Source organism: Homo sapiens, chromosome 4, assembly GCF_000001405.40.
Source record: "Homo sapiens chromosome 4, GRCh38.p14 Primary Assembly".
NCBI classification, from domain to species: Eukaryota; Metazoa; Chordata; class Mammalia; order Primates; family Hominidae; genus Homo; species Homo sapiens.
Window position 1 is genome coordinate 44293494 of NC_000004.12, and position 23692 is coordinate 44317185.

The 23692-nt window shown below is 33.8% G+C and overlaps 1 protein-coding gene and 1 long non-coding RNA gene across 3 annotated transcripts in view; both read right to left on the minus strand.

The window, feature by feature from the left end:
- KCTD8 (potassium channel tetramerization domain containing 8) overlaps window positions 1-23692 on the minus strand; it is a 274907-nt gene that overhangs the window by 119591 nt on the left and 131624 nt on the right. The gene's annotated exons all lie outside the window — the stretch shown is intronic.
- LOC107986275 (uncharacterized) lies at window positions 4-23199 on the minus strand. The gene is made up of 3 exons (XR_001741677.3): window positions 18069-23199; window positions 5575-5639; window positions 4-338 (listed from the first exon to the last, which is right to left on the minus strand). It is a non-coding gene; the product is annotated as an uncharacterized LOC107986275 (long non-coding RNA).

Below are 23692 nucleotides of genomic sequence, written 5' to 3' on the forward strand. Positions count from 1 at the left end.
GTAGCAAAGGTGTAATTGGTAGAAGCAGCACACAGAGGACACAAAGAAATTGAATTTATATAAGAAAAGGTCAGGGAAAAGCAAATTATATTTATTATTTTAGATGCTAGATTTCTAGTCTTTAATTTTTTTTTTCTAGGAATCTGGTGAGTTAGGTTGGTTAGTATTTTAATCAATTGTATGATGACATGAGGGAAATTTTTTAAAACCCAAGAACCTTGTAAACACTGGCCAAAAAATGGAAAAAGTTGTTGAAAATATTGAAACATAGCCACTTGAAAATTATTTTAGCATTTTGAACTTACGTAAGATTGAGCACAAAGACATCGTCAGAGAACCTGTGGAAAGCCAATCAAAAAAAGGATGATTTATCAGAAATATAAATAGAATTATTGCATAGAGAATGAGATAATTCCATTTATCATTTGTTTAACAATTTTCTTGAGCATTTTATTTTATATCACAAAGATTTAACATCACTAATAATAAAAATGTAAATTAATGCAATGCATGCCATTTTGCTTAAAAATTTACAAAGGATAGGAAAAGGATAATGTTCATTTTGCCAAAGGTTTAACGAAATTGACAATAACAAAAGTATAAGTGATAATTTATTATGATGAATCTAAATCATAGAAATGATTTGACACATGCACGTTCTCTATAAATATACAAAGGGGAAGATAAACAATCACATTACTACTGTAAATACATCCTTCCTCTTAGTACTATCTGGTCCCTGTTGTCCTGTGGTAACGCAGAAAAATGGAAGCCAGTCTGACACTTAGAAACGTAAAAGATTTTGTTAAGACTCCTTTGCCCGCTGGTGCCTATGAGCCACCAAAGCACTCTTAAGATAGGTACATAAAAACACATTCTGCCCAAAGATTTCATAAATTGAAACCAGATTTTCTCATTGTAATGGAAAAACATATGTTTAAAAGAATATCTATGCATTTCTCATGCCATCAAGTTCAAAACCATTTCCTCATTACCGTCCAGCACCATTGCAACCAGTAAGATTATCTGGTTTGACTTACAAAAGCATTGGCTCACTTTGAAATAGAGTGTCTATTCATGAAAACTGAAAAAAATTTCCTTATGAAACCTGATTTTCATGATAGCTTGTCCCCTAAGGCTTCACTTGGATTCTCACCAAAGACCATTATCATCAATAGAACAGAAGAATGTTAACTCTCTATAGCATCCTATATATCCATTTTGTGGACAGGTTTTCAAAGTCACATTTTCAACTGTTGGACTTGCTTTCTTAAGTGAATATTATGCAGAGCCCAGTATACAGAACAGATTAAGGTAGAGTTGATTTGCTAAAAGCAGAGTGAGAGATGAGCACCCTTCATGTTTAAGGTCCCACTTTTATCTAGTAAAATCCTGAGGCATATCTATTGAATTTTAAGGACAAGGTGAATTCAGTTAAAACACCAATGAACTAGAAGAAGGTAACAAAATGTTCTAAGGCAAAAGGAGATAAAAGGCTGTCAAAAACAGAGAAACTAGGTCCCGCAGGGTGGCTGATGCCTGTAATCTCAGCACTTTGGGAGCCTGAGGCAGGGGGATCCCTTGAGCCCAGGAGTTTGAGATCAGGCTGGGTAATGTGGGGAGACCCTGTCTCCATATTTTAAAAAATAATAATTAGCCAGACATGCTGGCACACGATTGTAGTTCCAGCTACTCTGGGGTCTGAGGTGGGAGGATTGCTTGAGTCCAGGAATTAGAGGCCTCAGTGAGCTATGACTGTGCCACTGCACTCCAGCCCAGGTGACAGAATGAACCCCGTCTCAAAAAATAAAAATAAAAAGACAGAAAAACTAGACGACTATTAGTGCATCCTCTGATGGGGCCTTTTAGAACTAAAATGCTGGCAATGTTTGGTTTGTTCCTGGGCTTAATAGCTCTTAAATCTAAGACCCAAGAGAGCCCCTTTTTCAGGCTCTTTTATCTTGTCCTTATTTAATTGTCAGTTTCTGGGAAAGGGAGGGAAAGCAAAGAAAAAAATGTAAAAATTTTAAATATTTAAGATAAACATTTTATTTGTACCTGAGTATATTTATATTTCTTTAAAATTTGATAAGTATTACCTGTCATTTATTTTGATATGCGTCAGGCTATTTTGTGTTGCTATAACAGAATAGCACAGACTGGTTAATTTGTAAAGAAGTTTCTCATAGTTCTAGAGGCTTAGAAGTCCAAGATCAAGGTGCCAGCATCTTTTTATAGTTGCATAAATCCATTCATGAACAAAACACCTCCCAGAGGCTCCATCTCCCAACACTGCAGGACTGGGAATCAAGTTTCTAACAAATGGATTTTAGGGAACACATTCTGACTGTAGCAATATGCAATTATTAATATTGGTAATTTATTACATATTAATTCACTTTCAGTAGCTTCTCTTTGTAAAATAGTTAACCTGGTCATTTGGTAGATAAAAACTTGTAAGACCCAAGATACTTGAAACTACTCTACCCAACTGGCCTTAATTGCCTAGCCATTAATAATGGTTTCCCTTGGTTTAAATATTTCCAATTCTTATAGGATCATATTTGTTTTTAACGTAATTTTGCAGCAGAAAAGGAATGCTAAGATTTGTTATTTAAGAAATGGCAGCATAGTGCAAACAGAGATCATGAATGTATTTTGTTTTGAAATCTAGACACATACAGCATGAAATAATTTAGTTTCCTCACCCTCAAGCAAGAGATAAGTCCTCCCTTTTTTTTCTGATCCTTAGTAACCCCTATTTCTCTGCCTTTCTTTCCATTCTAACCACACTGAATTCCTTTCTAGCCAAAATAGCCAATATAAGAAGAGGCTATGGAAATTAAATCCCTTTAAGAGAAGACCTGTAATTGGCCTTGGAAATGACCTTCCCATACAATCAATGGTATAAATGGTATCGTAACAGTGTCACATGTGTTAATTAGGCATTTATGAGCAGAATTGGGGATCCAACAATAATTTATAATGTTATTCTAATATGTTTTAAATTGATATATTAATGGCTTATGAAAAATTATAATTTACATATCTGTTCTGTTATTTTTGTAAAAAATAAGGATATCTCAGACACTGAAACACCAATATAATTAGTAGACTATTTTGCTGCTCTTTAATAAGTTCATAAAATTACTCTATTCCTCTACTAACACAGTGATGAATGGTATCATGTGGGCTTCACTAATATTTGTTCCCTAAATTCTAGTAATGATTCATCTAATTATGTGTTTTATTTTTAAATCTTTAGTTTCTGTGATTTTTTTTGAAAGTTTTTTTGAGTATTTCCCACAGCAACAATCTAAAATACACACTGCCTCTGAAAAACCTCAAGAATGACACCCCAAAGATTATACTATCCTCAGGGTCACAGAGTCCATGTTACGTGAGGTCTAATCTGAAACACTCCATTAGATAATAAAAAATGGCTCATTTTCATTTTCTTTTACATCAGTAAGATATATTATAATAAATTTCCAATATTAACACTCTATATTTTAAAAAGCATATTTAATGCTATAGAAGCAGAGTACTTTCACATCTGTTCTTCACATATCTATATGCCAAGCACTGGGTTGACAATAAAAAACCAAATATTTCAATAATTAAGACACCAACACATAAAGCCTGCCACCACTGCAAAATACTAAGTTAAAAAAATATATTCAACATAAGATAGGGAAAAAGTATTCCATAAATAGGTAAGCCCAATAATTGGAACAAATTAAATCAAAACAGATTAGAATAGCATTGCCAACAAACATGTAAAAATAAAACATCATCTAAAATTGTAATTGCTTTGCAAATTAAATCACATTTTGGACTGTTTTTCATCCAAAAAGCTTACTTTTTTGACATAACATGGTCCCCTGTTTCTCAGATGTATATTTTTTTCACATATAAATAGATATCTACATTTAACATAGTCTTATGAGATCTTTTTTCTCTGGTAACCTATTAATAAAATAGCATCTTACAATCAATGAAATATAGTATATGTGCATCTTTTCTATTTTTAAGGCAAACACTACCATTAACTTGCACTTTAATACATCTTTGAAAAATAATGTCCCTGCTATTTACGCTACCACAGAGGCATCTTGAGTAGAGGCTGTGAATATTAATAATGTATAAATGAAATACCATGTCTGCTTCTCCCAAGGCAAAGCATTTCAAAATCCCAAATAGAGATATGGTAGGTCTTAGATTCTTTATGTCCAAGGGAATAGGTTTATCTTACATATGTAAAACATTAGAAATGTCTACTACTCCACAATGAATTTGCAACTTACATGAACACAGCACTTGTGTGATACCTTTCTAACACCTTCTGAGTAATTCCATGTGGCCAAAATCTATGGTTCTCCATGGAATATTTTACCTCTTGTAATTAGCGGCCAGTCCTTGCTTTTAAAGCACACAATAGGATCAACATCCTTTTCATTGTACTTGTAATAATTGCTGCATCTATTTTTGAGACTGCCATTAGACTATGAACTCATTTGAGTCAAGAATTACCTTAGTTATCTCTCTGTCGCTCACAAGAAGCACAGTATCTGATGCAGAGTTTGTCAGTACTCAAGAAAATGTGTATAGAATGATAATTGTAATGAAAAATATACACCACAAGAAGATGCTGCAAGAATAACAGAAAGACACTAGGACTAAAGTTTATCTTTTTCTCTCTGTGCTCAGATAAGGATTTACAGCAAACTTCCCAGACATACTGAGGCTCAGACCCCTTCCTTTCCCATAAATAGTCTGTCAGTCTTCTGTTTCGGAATTGGGAGATGATATGTTTCAGTTACATATACCACTTGAAATGGATCGATATTTCTACAGGGAAGTGGCAAAGTCTCTGACTTTTCCTCACAAAACTCCTTCACACTAATGATCTGCCCCCCCCACCTCTTTATTTTTCTGTATAATAAAATTAACTAAGATGAACTGGGGGAAAAGGAGAAGAAAGCACCATCACCACCACAGTTTCCTACATTTTTAGTTGTAGCAGCAATAAGATATATAAATGTATTTCAAAATCACCTGAGGGGAAGAGCTGACAGCTCCCCAGAAACAATAAGAAATAGCTCCCTGGAGAAGGTCCCTAAAACTTGCTTCCTTACAGTCTCAATATGAAACACACTCCCTTGACTCATTGAACTTTTTAAAAAAGTACTGGGAATAGCTACCAGCTTAGAGTTCACACCCACTGGCTCTGTACTAAAGTGACAAAATGTTACCATCTTAAAGACAGGTGACAACATTTCTGGTCTCAATAACCCACACTGGATCCAAAAGAACAGAACATAGCACAGAAGTTAGATATAAAATATTGATTGAAAGATAGTAAATAAAGTAACAAATGAACAGACCTTTTGAAAAAAGCTATTCACATAAAAATGGACAATCTACAAAGATGAAAGTAAGACAAAATGCATACAGTTGTAAAAAAAAGTTCCAAGTTTTCAATGGCAATAAAATATAAATAATTTACTTATTATTACAAGCTTCTTTGAAAAATCACAATGTAGCTAGGTTAGAAATATTGCTAAAACTTACTTTCAAGTACATTAGTTGAGTATCATGTATCCCAATTATAGAAGTGAATACATGCTTGTGGAAATCTATTAGAAACATAAAAGTAAGAAAGATAGTATTACATAGGTAACTCCATCACCCAAAGGTAAGCATTGCTAAAATACATATGTAAAATCTCATTTGTTTGTAAGGGTCCTCTCTGCCTCATTTTTCAAAGAACACTCTTCCTCATTTCTTTCTAAAAAGCAGGTATGCCATCATATTTTTCTACCCACCCACCAAGCCTTCTTCCATGTAGCAACATTCTAACATAATGAAAATCCAAGATATTTTTACCAAAAGTTTAAGGTGAGATGGGAAACTGTTGTGTATTTCTTTCTTCTTGCATAAAAATGGGGTGCCTGCCGGGCGCGGTGGCTCACGCCTGTAATCCCAGCACTTTGGGAGGCCAAGGCAGGCGGATCACAAGGTCAGGAGATCCAGAACATCCTGGCCAACATGGTGAAACTCCATCTTTCTAAACATACAAAAATTAGCTGGACGTGGTGGCAAGTGCCTGTATTCTCAGCTACTCTGGAGGCTGAGGCAGGAGAATTGCTTGAACCAGAAAGTCTGAGATTGCAGTGAGCCGAGATCGCGCCACTGCACTCCAACCTGGCAACAGAGTGAGACTCCGTCTCAAAAAAAAAAAAGGTGGTGCCTTAGGTGATTTTTTTTTTCCTTTTCTTTTTTTTTTTTTGGAGACGGAGTCTCACTCTGTCGCCCAGGCCATCTCAGCTCACTGCAACCTCCGTCTCCTGGGTTCACATCTTTCTCCTGCCTCAGCCTCCGAGTAGCTGGGACTACAGGCACCCGCCACCACGCCCGGCTAATTTTTTGTATTTTTAGTAGAGACGGGGTTTCGCTGTGTTAGCCAGGATGGTCTCAATCTCCTGACCTCGTGACCACCCGCCTCGGCCTCCCAAAGTGCTGGGATTACAGCTGTGAGCCACCGCACTCGGCCGCCTTAGGTGATTTTTAAAAATAACCTGACTCTTGACTATTTTTCAAATGTAATGGAAATTCAGAGTTGTCCAAAATAACCTACAGAGGTGTAGAATAACATGCTGTTTTGATTTATAACTAAGTCTACACACTTATGAGTAAATTAGAACAGATTAAAGCCCTCCAAAGTTCTGATATTTATCAGAGGCACAGCTTCTATTTCAGTTCCCAATCACGATTTTTATCACTAATAATATAATAAATGTAAAGCACTGTCCACAATGGATCTAATTACAATCATGCTATCAGAAAAAAAAGGTTATATTCATGTACATCATGAGAAAACGTTTTCTGTATTGCCATCTCTTTTCAAATAAAAACTTGTTTGAAATATTCTATTAAAAGGTTACGGAAAAGAATAATCAGTTTTGCAATCTGATCAGAAAAAAAGGTTATATTCATGTATAACATGAGAAAACATTTTCTGTATTGCCATCTCTTTTTAAATAAAAACTTGTTTGAAATATTCTATTAAAAGGTTACAGAAAAGAATAATCAGCTTTGCAATCTGATTGCAACAAGAGAATGTACTGTTATATGCAATAACTAGAAAAATAAACTTATGGTATGTTTTTTAAATGCTTATTCAAACTAATCCTACACCAGTAGGATTATCAATAAGAACTCTTTTTTTTATTATTATACTTTAAGTTTTAGGGTACACGTGCACAATGTGCAGGTTAGTTACATATGTATATATGTGCCATGCTGGTGTGCTGCACCCATTAACTCGTCATTTAGCATTAGGTATATCTCCCAAAGCTATCCCTCTCCCCTCCCCCCACCCCACAACAGTCCCCAGAGTGTGATGTTCCCCTTCCTGTGTCCATATGTTCTCATTGTTCAATTCCCATCTATGAGTGAGAACATGCGGTGTTTGGTTTTTTGTCCTTGCGATAGTTTACTGAGAATGATGATTTCCAATTTCATCCATGTCCCTACAAAGGACATGAACTCATCATTTTTTATGGCTGCATAGTATTCCATGGTGTATATGTGCCACATTTTCTTAATCCAGTCTATCGTTGTTGGACATTTGGGTTGGTTCCAAGTCTTTGCTATTGTGAATAATGCCGCAATAAACATATGTGTGCATGTGTCTTTATAGCAGCATAAGTTATAGTCCTTTGGGTATATACCCAGTAATGGGATGGCTGGGTCAAATGGTATTTCTAGTTTTAGATCCCTGAGGAATCGCCACACTGACTTCCACAATGGTTGAACTAGTTTACAGTCCCACCAACAGTGTAAAAGTGTTCCTAGTTCTCCACATCCTCTCCAGCACCTGTTGTTTCCTGACTTTTTAATGATTGCCATTCTAACTGGCGTGAGATGTTATCTCATTGTGGTTTTGATTTGCATTTCTCTGATGGCCAGTGATGATGAGCATTTTTTCATATGTCTTTTGGCTGCATAAATGTCTTCTTTTGAGAAGTGTCTGTTCATATCCTTTGCCCACTTTTTGATGGGGTTGTTTCTTTTTTTCTTGTAAATTTGTTTGAGTTCATTGTAGATTCTGGATATTAGCCCTTTGTCAGATGAGTAGGTTGTGAAAATTTTCTCCCATTTCATAGGTTGCCTGTTCACTCTAATGGTAGTTTCTTTTGCTGTGCAGAAGCTCTTTAGTTTAATTAGATCCCATTTGTCAATTTTGGCTTTTGTTGCCATTGCTTTTGGTGTTTTAGACATGAAGTCCTTGCCCATGCCTATGTCCTGAATGGTAATGCCTGGGTTTTCTTCTAGGGTTTCTATGGTTTTAGTTCTAACATTTAAGTCTTTAATCCATCTTGAATTAATTTTTGTATAAGGTGTAAGGAAGGGATCCAGTTTCAGCTTTCTACATATGGCTAGCCAGTTTTCCCAGCACCATTTATTAAATAGGGAATCCTTTCCCCATTGCTTGTTTTGCTCAGCTTTGCCAAAGATCAGATAGTTGTAGATATGTGGCGTTATTTCTGAGGGCTCTGTTTTGTTCCATTGATCTATATCTCTGTTTTGGTACCAGTACCATGCTGTTTTTGTTACTGTAGCCTTGTAGTATAGTTTGAAGTCAGGTAGCGTGATGCCTCCAGCTTTGTTCTTTTGGCTTAGGATTGACTTGGGATTGCGGGCTCTTTTTTGATTCCATATGAACTTTAAAGTAGTTTTTTCCAATTCTGTGAAGAAAGTCATTGGTAGCTTGATGCGGATGGCATTGAATCTATAAATTACCTTGGGCAGGATGGCCATTTTCACAATATTGATTCTTCCTACCCATGAGCATGGAATGTTCTTCCACTTCTTTGTAACCTCTTTTATTTCATTGAGCAGTGGTTTGTAGTTCTCCTTGAAGAGGTCCTTCACGTCCCTTTTAAGTTGGATTCCTAAGTATTTTATTCTCTTTGAAGCCATTGTGAATGGGAGTTCACTCATGATTTGGCTCTCTGTTTGTCTGTTATTGGTGTATAAGAATGCTTGTGATTTTTGTACATTGATTTTGTATCCTGAGACTTTGCTGAAGTTACTTATCAGCTTAAGGAGATTTTGGGCTGAGACAATGGGGTTTTCTAGATATACAATCATGTCGTCTGCAAACAGGGACAATTTGACTTCCTCTTTTCCTAATTGAATACCCTTTATTTCCTTCTTCTGCCTAATTGCCCTGGCCAGAACTTCCAACACTATGTTGAATAGGAGTGGTGAGAGAGGGCATCCCTGTCTTGTGCCAGTTTTCAAAGGGAATGCTTCCAGTTTTTGCCCATTCAGTATGATATTGGCTGTGGGTTTGTCCTAGATAGCTCTTATTATTTTGAGATACGTCCCATCAATACCTAATTTCTTGAGAGTTTTTAGCATGAAGGGTTGTTGAATTTTGTCAAAGGCCTTTTCTGCATCTATTGAGATAATCATGTGGTTTTTGTCTTTGGTTCTGTTTATATGCTGGATTACATTTATTTATTTGTGCATATTGAACCAGCCTTGCATCCCAGGGATGAAGCCCACTTGATCAGGGTGGATAAGCTTTTTGATGTGCTGCTGGATTCCGTTTGCCAGTATTTTATTGAGGATTTTTGCATCGATGTTCATCAAGGATATTGGTCTAAAATTCTCTTTTTTGATTGTGTCTCTGCCCAGCTTTGGAATCAAGATGATGCTGGCCTCATAAAATGAGTTAGGGAGGATTCCCTCTTTTTCTATTGATTGGAATAGTTTCAGAAGGAATGGTACCAGTTCCTCCTTGTACCTCTGGTAGAATTCGGCTGTGAATCCATCTGGTCCTGGACTCTTTTTGGTTGGTAAGCTATTGATTATTGCCACAATTTCAGATCCTGTTATTGGTCTATTCAGAGATTCAACTTCTTCCTGGTTTAGTCTTGGGAAAGTGTATGTGTCGAGGAATTTATCCATTTCTTCTAGATTTTCTAGTTTATTTGCTTAGAGGTGTAATAAGAACTCTTAAATAAGGCCAGGCATGGTGGCTCATTCCTGTAATCCCAGTACTTTGGGAGGCTGAGGCAGGTGGATTGCTTGAGCTCAGGAGTTCAAGACCAGCCTGGGCAACATAGCAAAATCCCATCTCTACAAAAAATACAAAAATTAGCTGGGTGTGGTGCTGTGCTCCTGTAGTCCCAGTTACTTAGGAGGCTAAGGCAGAATTGCTTGAGCCCAGGAGGCAGAGGTTGCAGTGAACTGAAATTGCACCATTGCACTCCAGCCTGGGGGACAGAGTGAGACCCTGTCTGAGAAAAAAAAAATGAAAAAACTCCTAATCGTTTTTAACATTTTCTAAAATTGGCTAAAAGAAAGCAAGCATTCTTTAAATTAGCAGATCATTAGCAGAAAAGGTATTGCCCTCCAAAATCTCAGCTGCAAGATAAATACAAACTCAGGTTACAAATCAATAATGTCTCAATATGTATGAAGTTACACTGATGAAAATTTCACATAACACTAAATGGCAGAAAGGCTCATGCAGTCATCCAGACTCTAACATCACCTTATGTACTAAGGAGTCATTATCCAACTTGAGACACCAGAATTTTGATTCTATAAATATCTCTGAGTGACCATCTACATTTCCAGTTTTATCATACTCCATTTTCCCCATCAAAGCTTTTGTTTTTATTAAGCCCAAGAAGAATAAGACAAAATGAAGAAAAATAGGTATGTGGTACACGAATCCCTCTAGGTGACAGAAGAATTGACATGTCTGACTCAGAGAACATATTCAATAAATAACTGTTTATTAAATGAAAAAAATGCAATAAGGAGAATAGTCAGAATTGAGGTAAAGTAGATGGCCTGCATTTAAAAAATAGTTTTCCTAATCTTTCTACCACTTCAAGCATCACTTGGATCAAAACATTTTTTTGTTGGTTAACAATTTCCACACTTACTACGCCCCTGAATGTCTTCAGCCTCTTATTCAGTAGTTTCACATAACATCTAGTCAACATAAAGGGAATAATAAGCTGTGATTAAAAGTAATATAATGCCATTGATACGTTTTTGTTGTACTGTATTAAGTAATTGTAGATTAAACTCTTATACCTTCCCACTATTATGTTGATGGCTGAAGTAATTAAATTATAGGATATAATAAATCATGGTTAGGAAAGATGAAACAAGAAATGGATCTCTATATTTAAGAACAGTTAGCAAACACTCTTTGTTTTTACAAAGCCCAAGGTGACAGATAATTCAGGGGGGTTAGATGGAACTGTTCTATATCTTGATTATGATGGTGGCCACAAAAATATATGCATTTGTTGGCAGGGCATGGTGGTGCCTGCCTGCAGTCCTAGCAGGCACCTAGAAGGCTGAGGTGGGAGGATCACTTGAGCCCAGGAGTTGAACTCCAGCCTAGGTGACAGAACTAGATCCTGTCTAGAAAAAAAAAAAGTCCAGAACCAAAATCCTGGAATCAACAGCAAATAAACCTGGTGGGAGAAGGTTTTACATTAAAATAGTATAAGAATATTTTATGGTTTCAGAGTAGAATAAAGGATTTGATTAATCACATGCTTTATTCAAGTAAATATTCATGTTAAAATAACTAGAATGAAAAATAAAAGAACAGAATTCAGTATGCATATTAAAATCTAGGAAAAAAGAATTAAAAAATCAAAGTTTAGATAATTAAAAGTAAATATACATTAAAATACGTGATAGATATAAGTATATAAAATATAAAAGTAATTATAAATAATCTCTCCCCCTAAAAGATGAATATTATAATTTTGAATATTAAAGTTGGGTTGCTTCCTGATTACAAAAAAATTTTACAAGTTAACAGGACAGAAATATTGAAAATAAAAGGATATTTTAAAAGTTTACTAGACACGAAATTACCAAGAAGATGCAGCTATATTTATATCAAATTTTAAAAGCAAAGATAAAGAGAATCACTTCTCTTTATTAAACAAACTCACCAGGATGATATAAAACTTATAAACTCATATATATCTAATATATAGTATGAAAATACATAAAAAATTGAGAAAGCTCTGAGAAAAAGTAGACCTATTGTTATACTAAGTGATTTTATATTTCCCTAAGTTAATAACAGATTAAGCAGACAAAAACAATTCAATGAGTCAGTAAGCTTACAGAAAACTTGAGGAACACCACTAACATGATTGATATAGTATATGTGTGTATGTTTACAATTTTTTACCCCAAAATGAAAAATATGAGTATTTGTAAGTATAAATTAGACATTTATAAAATCCAACCATTTACTGGATCATAAATCAAGTTTCAAAGTAGTTCAAAGATTTGCTATCATAATAATCCTATCACATTTTCTGTACATGGAGGATTCATATTGGTAATTAATAACAATTTTATAAATATTTATCAATATTTAAAAACTAAAAGCATTTCCAAATAAGTCATTTACTAGATAGAATTAATGAAAATTAGAAAATACTTAAAGTTCAATAATAATATTGCATATAAAAAAGCACTTAGATGGAATTTTGTCCTCCAAAATGTTTGTATTAGAAAGACTAAAAATTAATCCGCTAAGTATTCAACTTAGGTAGACAATGACACAAGAACAAAATCAAAGGAAGTGGAAGAAATGAAATAATAAATGTAAAAACAGAAGATTATAAATAGAAAATGAAGACAAAAACAAATATAATTCGTCAGTTAAAAAGAGATAAATAAATTGATGATTGCTATATCTCTAATATGCAACAGGCACTGTGCTGTCTTCTTAGTATGATACTATCATTATATTTCTAGATTGGTCAAGTATAATTATATCCTCACTTCATGTTAAATGACTTAACAAAGTTCACATGGTTAGTAAGGTGGATATTAAAATATATGTCTCTCAGATCCAAAGCCTGTGGGGCTTTTTCTAATATAATTTAAACATCTTCACATTTCTTTATCAAAAAAGGTATTGCTTGAATTCTAGTCTCCTTAGTTCATGCATTACCAACTGCACTGATAAAAGAAGTCAAAATAAATTAAAAAGCAAACATACAATTTTCACAAATTGAAATTTGGAGGACCAAATCATAAAGCTATCCATAACCCTATTACTCATAGTGTAATTAATGGACTGGTATAACCTGGAAGATTGTTAAAAATGCATGATCTCAGTCCTGAACATGTTCTGTCTAATGTGATGGACCAGAGCTTAGCCAACTGCCATCTGACAGAACTAAGGAAGGTAAAATTTTATTAAATTTGTAAGCAATAAAATTGGCCTTCTATTAGTAAAGAACACAGATTTTAATAGGCAACTAGTTCCCTTTGCCACTGACTATTTAAAAAGGAGAAAAAGAAGAAACCTAAGTTTAACAAATTAGACTATGTTCAGTTGAAGTCAAGCATCAGAATGACAGGGAGTCTGAAAAATCAAAAGATATAAAGAGTGGCTAAAGGTACCAGGGACATTTTGACCTGAGAAAGTGACCTGACACTCGCCATCCAATATGTAATTAATTGCTTAACTAAAGCGGCCATAAACAAAATCAGTAATTAAGAGTAATAAAGGAGCAGAATTAAGCTCAATACAAATAAAGATATTTTATTAGGAGGTATCCAGTCACAAAACTAGTAAAGCTAGTCAAAATGCACCATATCCTAAAGAATGTCACAACAAACTGAGTGAATGTTTGCTAGGGATATTGCAGAAGGGCTATTTTCAGAAAAACTGAAGAGGCCTTCCAAGTCTATGTTCAAGTTGTAGTAATAATAATCACATAATTTCTTTACTTATCATGCCCATAATTAATCAAATTTACATAGTTAAAATTTAGCTAGTTCATCTATATCTGTTGCCTAAAACTGGTCTGTAATGGAAAATGCTTAAACATTCTCATATTGTGAAATCATCGTACACTTGCTCATGCGTGATCATTTTCAAGAGGAATGTCATTTCTAGAAAATAGTCCAGCACTAGATCCACATGTTTTCAGTAACTTTTATCAAATTATAAATATATTTACTGAAGTTCAATATGTTGTCATTATGATGTCAGATTAAAAATAAAATGTGAGCTTTTATTTCTTTTTTAAGTAGATTTGGTCATAAAACACGATTGCTTCCACTGTAATTTATTTTCCAATTAATTGCATAATTAAATCTCAAACCACAAGAGAAAATACTCTGTTTCAAGCTGCATATTAGCCTATGGTTTTCATTATATCAACTGACATAATGAGCAAAGTAGTAATTATCATGAAATAGGCCAGTGCTGTACACATAACTCTTTTTCCGCAAAATGCATGAATAGCTAACATGACTAAGTACCTAAATAAAATCTCTGGTCAAAAATTCATAAAACAAATATAGTGTACATATTCAATGTATAACATTTTAAAGAGACCTAGATACAAGACAGATGAATTACAAAAAGACTGATATCACCTCTGGAAGTTGCTTATAAACATGGGAATACGACCCATATTACAGTCACTATTACTTATTTCCATATACTAAAGCATATCCCTTATCTATTTTTCATAACTATGTTACTACTATATAGGTACAATATTATCCCTTAATATACAGTTATTCCTTTATATAGAATCCAGTGATTTTTGTTTATAAATTAAGAAAAACCTTTCATAGCTCAAGATGAGAAACGAAAACATTTAGATGTATGTGATGTCTCATAGCTACATATGAAAGCAGAACTTTCAAACTGGTATATCGATATAGTATAATCAATCATTCAATCAATCAATAAGTGCTCACTAAGCTTCGAATCTATGTCTATAGTAAAGATTAAATTACAATGAACTCTTTTTTTTTCCCTTTAAAAAAGTAGAACCTGTTCCATATTTGGATATTAAGGAAATTATCTAAATCTCAATTTCCAGGTATAATGGATTGTGGACTAATAATAAACTATCAGAAACAGTCACATGTAAATAGGAAAGCAGCAAGTAAGAAAAAACTATGCATAATTTAACCCATTCTATTTGAAGATCTATATGATTTTGTATTTCAATATTTTATTGTCTGTATTTGTTTGTTATAGATATACCTTTTTTGATATGTTGTAAAATTTACAAGAACAGATGTACTATTAAATGAGAGTGACTAGGTGTAATCTATGCTCACATCTTATTTAAGGTTTATGGCTTCTCTCTTAACAAAGCATTGTTAAAGATAAAAACAAGAAAACTTAGATTGAAATTTTAAAATAAAGTAATATACTAATCAATAACAAAAATTCAGACTAACAAAAATATTTACAAAGATGAATATGAAAAAACACATATTGAATCACTGCCATATATCTTTTACAGTATAGTTATAAATTATAAACTCCAGGAGTTTGCCCCAGAAAAGCATATTAATTTGAATTTGAGCAGGAATGATGATATTGATACACAGCATCTAGAGAACATAGTGTATTGAATAGTAATTATAATAATAGAATATAGATTAGACAAATAACATTTATTTACTTGACTGGTCTTTGACAAATCAAACTGACGTTTATTTATTTATTTAAAACAGAGTCTCACTTTGTCACCCAGGCTTGAATGCAATGGCATGCTCTTGGCTCACTACAGCCTCAACCTCTGGGGTTCAAGCAGTTCTCATGCCTCAGTCCTCCAAATAGGGGGAATTACAGACATACACCACTATGTCTGGCTAATTTTTGTATTTTTTTTTTTAGAGATGGGGTTTTTGCCATGTTGCCCAGGCAGTCTCGAACTCCTGAGCTCAAGCCATCTGCCCACCTCGGCCTCTCAAAGTGCTAGGATTACAGACATGAGCCACTGTGCTCTGCCTAAACTGATGAATTTTAAATCTAATAATTAAAAGCAGGTGTTTGTACTCCTAAATTAATTTCCAATTTAAAACTGTCTTAGATTCAATAAAAGTAATATTTTACAGAATTTGAAGACTCTTTGGAAGATATATCTTTTACAAATTATATTATTCTGAGGATCAACAATATTCTGAAAATCCAGTAGCCTTTCAGCTATGCTTAATTCTCTTTTACTCACAACATATTCAACAACTTGTACTGTTGAATTTTATAACTGTCACAAAATGAAGCTAATTATAAATTTCAAAAAGGTGTATGAACATAAAATACTAAATTTTAGTCCTAAATACTAAAATTTAGAATACATTAGAGAGAGAGCACTCATTGCAGATATTGACTTGCCATTTAAATTATGGGTATAAAATATTTTTGAGAATTTTGGAAGAGGAAAATGACAAAAGGATAATGAGTCTAAAAGCTTTTTGTGTTTTTGATTCTAAGAGAATCCATTAAATTCCATAAATAAGATTCTATTCTAGTATTTTCGAACTAAAATACTAAATTTTAGTTGTAAAATACTAAAATTATTTATGCTCACAGTTGCCTTACGCAGTATCAAATTTTTGAAGGTAATGTCGTCATAGGATCTATATCATTTTCAAATACCTAAGTCCTTGGAGAGATCCTTAAAAGAGAAAAACTGAAAAAAGAAAGAAATGTATATTGTTTTAAAACATGGGACCTGGTATTATTAAATTAGATTCAATTGAGAAGAAATATAACCTTTTTGGTTTATATGTAAAACTCTGAAATATGTGACATTTTAGAGATACACTTAAAACTTATGTAGTCCAGTGAAATAAATAGATTGATATGTATTCCAGTGATATATGTAATCCAGTGAAACCAATTGATAGCATAAATGCTGCTTGTACAATGGGGACTTCACGCATAATCTAATTTTGAACATAGAAACAGCTTTAATACATAATTTCTAGGCCAAGAAACACTAAGTATAATTAAGTGTTGAATTCAGTGATTTTAGTGCTGCAATAAAAATGGGAGCAGAGAGATTTATGAAACAATCAACATATTAAAAATGAAAATAAAAATACAGATTTTTAACACATTTTCAGCAAACTAATTTCTTCTAAGCTTGTCTCCTGATATGGCCTAAACCACTGGCATTGCTGGTTAATCACTTTCAGGGGGAAAACAAAAAGAAACTACTTCAAGATCATAGGCTTTCTATTTTACTATAAAAGTTTATGCTCTGAAATGTTTCAAAGTTAGCAGTCTTGGTAACATTAATTCACTACAAGAACCAATGATCAGATTCGTGAGTAAACCAGAGGAATAAAACATAATTAGTTACCACCAATGTGCAGAGAAATTGTAAATGTGATTAAAAGTTTGTGTTTTAATTATAAATCCTATTAACCTATTTCAGTGTCTGAGAATCTTTCAACTTCATTAGTCTATGGTATAAGAAATCTGTTTTTATTTGTGTGAGTGGGTGTGCAGACACTACATATAAATTAATTATTTTCTGGATTCAGTAAAATACATTAACCCTTATAAATCCATTTATTTCACACTAGCTGGAATGTCAAGTATATAGATCACAAGACCAGAACAAAGCAGAATTGTTCCATGCTTCTGCAACCCCTATATCTCTCTTCTTTGTATTTTTTTTTCATTTAGTTCTGAATTTCATCTTGATGATTCCTCTTAAGGCAAACAGTTTTCTAAGATCCTTTCTTCAAAAGAGTTAGGCCTTCAAATTTGTCTATAAATAACAATCCAACCAATCTCTTAGAATCCAAAACACAAACAGCTTTTAGACTCTTATTTCTTCTGTCATTCTTCTCTTCCAAAATTTTCAAAAATATTTTATACCCATAATTTAAATGACAAAATAGACAATATCTGCAATGAGCACGTGTGCTCTCTCTCTCTCCCCACCTTAATTTTTCTATCTTCCACGGTGTTGCCTTCCTTCTCCAAATCATTTTCTCTGATAATAAGAGGAGATTCTTTCACCACAAATGTAGATAATTTTCCTGTTTACCCATTACATCCAAATCAATCAGCTGGAAGGAAAAAATTGTTCATTCAACCTCAAACTATAGGTATATACAGTAAAAAATATTGTCCACCTTATTTTTAAGGAAGCTATATTTTAAAATTCAAGTCATCAGCAGATGCCATGGTATGTTTACTGCAATGTAAGAATACTCACCCTCCTTGCCAATCAGATAGTGAGGCTGTCATTACAATGTTGAAAACCAAGTGAAGATATACAGTATTTAACATTCAACAGATGGTGAAATTATAAAACAAGTCCAAAGCACAGTAATAACAAATGGTCTTTATAGTGTGGAGCTGAGATGCAAGTGATTCAGGTTCTGAAAAAGAAAATGCCAAATTAATTTATTTGTAACTCTCAACTCCGTGGCTTGATTGGATCGAAAAAGCAGATTACTGCCGTTTTATTCCTCTTGGTTCCTTCATTGTCATTATTTTGATTCTGTGTCAGCATCCTAGATGACACTTAAATGGACTGAACTAGTACAGAGCTTAAATAACTGAAACTAATGAAGACCTGTGGTCATAACTAGACTGCCCACACTTTTGTAGACACCCATCAGAAATAAAGAATCATAATTATTTTATAGTGCCACTTTCCACTTTCAGTTACAAGTCTCACATTCTTCTTTGAGTTTGGGGTGTATCTATTCATGATTTTTTAAAAAGTTGGATAATTCACATGTATGGGGAAAGGTATATGTCTTTAGATTTCTAAGTAAAAAATATTGGAAAATGTTCCTCAAAGGTTTTTCAGATGATATATAGAGCTCTTTGGGAGCTCCTTGAGAGTGGCGGGAGTGTTTTCTTTCTCTTTATTTCTCAAAGCACATTTAGGTGCTCACCAAATGTTGGGTGTTTTAAGTCAGGTAACTTACTTGAAAGGACTATTAAATTGAACTGAATAGACTTCCTAATTGCATCTGCAATAGAAAGGGCATTCAAGCCAGGACTTGAATCTCTGGGGATCAATAATCTGTTATCTTTTCAGGGTAAAATGAAGACACGATTAATACTGATGTTGGTCTTTTGTTTTTCCTTTCCATCATTTACTTTGTTTTCTAATGCAAGAGTAAATAAAATTATTCAAGCACTAAAATCTGAAAAAAAGCAATAGAGAAAGAATAGCTACCGTATGAATACAGAACTAACTTCTGTATACACACTGATGCACCTGGAAAGCAAATTTACATAGATATATGAAAAAAGCATTACATATCCCCCATCTCTGCCACTTTTAATACCAAAGTTTGATATGCATCCCTCCATAACTTCTTTATGCATAAATATTATGTTTTTATACACACATATCCATAGATTATTTGTCTTTTGTTTGTTGATATTTTATACAGGCTTTAATCTTCATGGGAAAACAAGTTTGTTTGATGATTGATCCAGGTAGTCTCCTGAAACAGCCCGGCAATGAACTAGCTGGGGCCAGGATTTTCCTCCTCTTCCAGCAAAGGGTCCTTCCAGCTTTGAAGGATCTCAACTTCTTTCAATGTGTCCAGTTGGGAGGAGGCAATTGGCATTCTCATTACTCCCTTACTAGCTGATATCCTGATTCAGACTATCTTTCCAAACTCATACTGTTTCCCCCCATTTTTGAGGTCACTTTCATAATCATCTCTCATAAAATAAGAACACCAAAGCAGTAGGTAACTTTCCTGGAACAAATTTCCTTGGTGTGCCCTGCTGTGCCCAGAGAAGGAAGCATGTATTCTGAAGAACTCCATGAAAACTGGGGACTTGTCTGTATCTGCGATCTGCCCATTAGCTCCTATCAGAGCAAGGTGACACTTCTAGTGTTTTGCCCAAAACTTCTGCTCATCAGTGGCATCAAATGCAGGGTGAGCGCCACTACCTACTTAAAGCATTTAACTGAACACATTAACAAAGGGAGATATTTCTCTGGGGTTACAGCAGGTCGTAGTGAAGATAATAGCCATATGGTCTTGTGGTCTGTCAGGCAGTGATGCCCTAAAGTAGGTGAATCACTTGGCCGTGGTAGAGTACCTATACTCTTTAATAAAACTGCTCTTGAATTTTCTATTTTATTTATTTTGAGGCAACAAGAGCTTCTGGATCACAATAAACTCCTCAATGAAAATAAGTTTTCTCCTACCTGTTAATGATTAGCAATGAGTAGATTTGTTAAGTGCTTCAAAAATTAGTAATTGCCGTTCATTTAACCCATCTAATAAGCCAGGTCCTGTTTAGGAAAATGACATATATCATTCACTAATCACTTAATACAAAACTATTGAGTATCTACAGTTTACCAGGCACTAGCTTAGGCAATGGAGATATGATATCCTAATAAGAAACCTAGTTTAATAAATAAATGCTTATAAGACAGAGAGACAGAATAGGCACAGGATGATTCAGGAAGAATGTCTTAATTGTTAACTAAAAGAGTAAGGCAAGAGTTGGCCAAGCAGGGATGTGAGGAAAGACATTCCAACAGAAAACAACATTTGCAGAAGCCTGTAAGGCATATCTGCCAAACTTACGGAAATGGAACAGGCTGTGCAAAGAACAGAGTCATGAGAGATAAGGCTCAAGAGGTAAATCAGTGGCCAGACAATGAATGGTCATGTAAAATATGCTAAACATTTTTGATAAGGGGAGCTGTACAAGAAAGTAAAATTAATGAAGTTAAAAGATACAGAAGGTCAAATAGAAAGGATTTAGTGATTGGATATTCTCAGTCATGAAGATGGAGGGTTAATGATATTACCCCAAGGTCTAAGTTTGGTAACTGGTGGGATGGAGACTTCATTCATAAGGAAAAGAAGGGAAAGCTAAACAATGGTACAGGTTGCTTTTATTGGTGAGAAAAAACAGAGAGATAGAGGATTCTGTTTTGGAAAAGTGAGTTTGAAATACTGTGGGACATAAAAGTAGATGCAGCTGGTGGTAGTTAGATATATTAGGCTGAAGTTACAGAAGATATTTGTGTTGATGATTTAGATTTGTAGCTGAAAAATAAAGACAAATGAGAAAGCATGGACAGGAAAGTAGGAGGGGAAACGCAGTATCATAGAAGCCAATTAATAAGATATTTTATTTCCCTAATTACACAAGTTATATATGCTCCTTATACTATGATCCAAGCAATAAAATGTGCATTAAGAATGAATAATGTTTCCTCTGCCTGACACAATCTAAATCACAAAAAGACATTAGTAACATTTTTATGGATATCTCACTGGACATTTTCTATGCATATATAAATATACACATCTATATGCATAAACATGCACATTTACACAGCAGGGATCATATCATATATTCTGCAACTTACTTGTTTTATTTAAAAGATTGTGGATATATTTCACTATCAGTACATAGAGATTTATAATATTATTTTTAATGGTTGGATGATATTCCATTGTATGAATATAGCATAGTTAATATTTTAAATTTATATTTAAATGTTTATTATAGAAATAATTCAAAGACATTGTGAAAAAAAAAACAGGAAAAAAAAAAAACTTATACTCCTCCTCCTCTACCTCAGAGTCAACCAGTGTTAATCTTTTACTCTTTAGGACATCTGGAGGTTAAGTTTTCAAATATGACACTTAAAATTTTATTATATCATTATCAGCTTTAGATCTCCATTATTTGCCACCTTTAAAGATGAAAAATTTAGGGATTTTATGCAATCCCTCATCTCCCTTTCCCTCCACATCCAAATGTTTGTGAGTTAATCATTTTAATTTCTTCTTGGGTTTTCACTTTTTAAAACTTTCTTTCTTTACATGACAAATTGTAATTTCTTTTTTTAAAGCTAGCACTTAATATTATCTATTTTACCCTGGATTAAAAGAAAGAAAATTAGCTCCTTAAGCTCTATCTTTTCTTCCATTTCTTAAAAAATTTTAAGAAAAATTATTAAGGGCTTATAACTTTTACATTCTCTTCTGTAAATACGCATCCTAAAGAGAATTTTCTGTTTCTATAGCTTAATACAAAAAGGTTAAACCACAGTGCATAATTTAACATGTGATTATGAAAACATTATGTACCACAGAATTAAAAAGTTAGATTGAACCCATACAGATGTAAGAACAAGCCATTGAAAACTTGTTTCTAACTTCCTTCCCATCTTCTGGATAAGATTCACTAGTTACTCTATTTTTGTATTCTATATTGTCTCATATTTTGGAGTAGGGTAGTATCTTTTTATTTTCTGGAAAACTCCCTAAAATGATTGTTTTCACAGAGTAAATATACATAATGATATTTCTTAGTTATTCTATGCCTGAAAAAGTGTATAATTTACCCTCACATTTGATTGATAACACATCCAGTTGTAGAACTCTAGGTTTAAAACATTTTTTTTCCTCTCAGACTTAGGAAGTCATTGTTCTCAGGTTCCATGTTGCTGACGAGAAGTCTGATGTCTTTCTGAGTGCCAATCCTTTGAAATCAACATAATGCAATATACTTTGTTTTATTTCTTTCTAAATAGTTTTAAGGTTTTTCTCTTTAATCTTGATATTATGAAATTTTTACTGTTTGAGTCATTTTGCCTGATGTTGTTCAGCAACTGAAGACTTAGGTTTTCTACCCATGTATACAGTACATCAGATAAGACAAACTAGTGTTTCTCTACTCTCCATCTAGCACTCCTTTTGCGGGCTCTTTTTCCCATTTTTTTATTACTTAACTTTCCTCATAATCATTTTCTTCTGTTTCTTTTCTGTCCAAATTCTGTCAAATTTCCTTGATTTTTTTCTTTCAGATTACTTATTGCTATTTTTTGAGATAATTTGTTCTGCTATATATCTTAACTATGTTGATTTTTACCTTTTGGACTTTGGCTATCTTTTTTATTTCCACACTCATTTATTAAATTTATAAACATTTTTTCCAATAGATTCAATTTACACCTAAATATTTATAAGGGCAATAAGAATTATTGTTAAGGTTTCTTTTGTTTTGTTTTTTTTGTTCTCTGCATTATCTCTATTTCCTCCAGGGTTGATTTGTTTTGGTTTGTTTTTAGTTCATCCTGGATCTTTCTCTTGATGATGTTGTCTTCAGATGTCATGCTGTTCGTCATTCATAAATATAAACGTACTATGTTAACAAGTGTGCCGAGCCAAATGTGTTTTCTCACCAGTTGTATATGTCTCTTCTAGATGATTACTCCCTTAAATTGGAATATCAATCGCAATTTCTATAGAAATATTGAGGTATGTCAGCAGGTAATCTTCTTATAGTTTGAATAGATAAAAAACAGGAAATCAGGCCGGGCGTGGTGGCTCATGCCTGTAATCCCAGCACTTTGGGAGGCCGAGGCGGGCCAATCACAAGGTCAGGAGATCGAGACCATCCTGGCTAACACAGTGAAACCCCATCTCTACTAAAAATACGAAAAAAAAAAAAAAAAAAAAAAAAAAAAGAAGATAAGCCGAGCTTGGTGGCCGGCGCCTGTAGTCCCAGATACTTGGGAGGCTGAGGCAGAAGAATGACATGAACTCAGGAGGCAGGGATTGCAGTGAGCCGAGATAGTGCCACTGCACTCCAGCCTGGGCAACAGAGCGAGACTCCATCTCAGCAACAACAACAACAAATAAAATAATAATAAAAAAAAAACAAACAGGAAACCAGACTCCTAAACTTGTTAGAGTAAGGAGGCTGTAATTGGGCACAGAAGGAATCATTTTACTGCTGTATGAAGCTATGTTTCCTTTCATTTTGTTTTTTTGTTGTTTTATGAGTCTCCAGCAGGAGTTAATATATCTAACAAAGTTTTAATGGAAC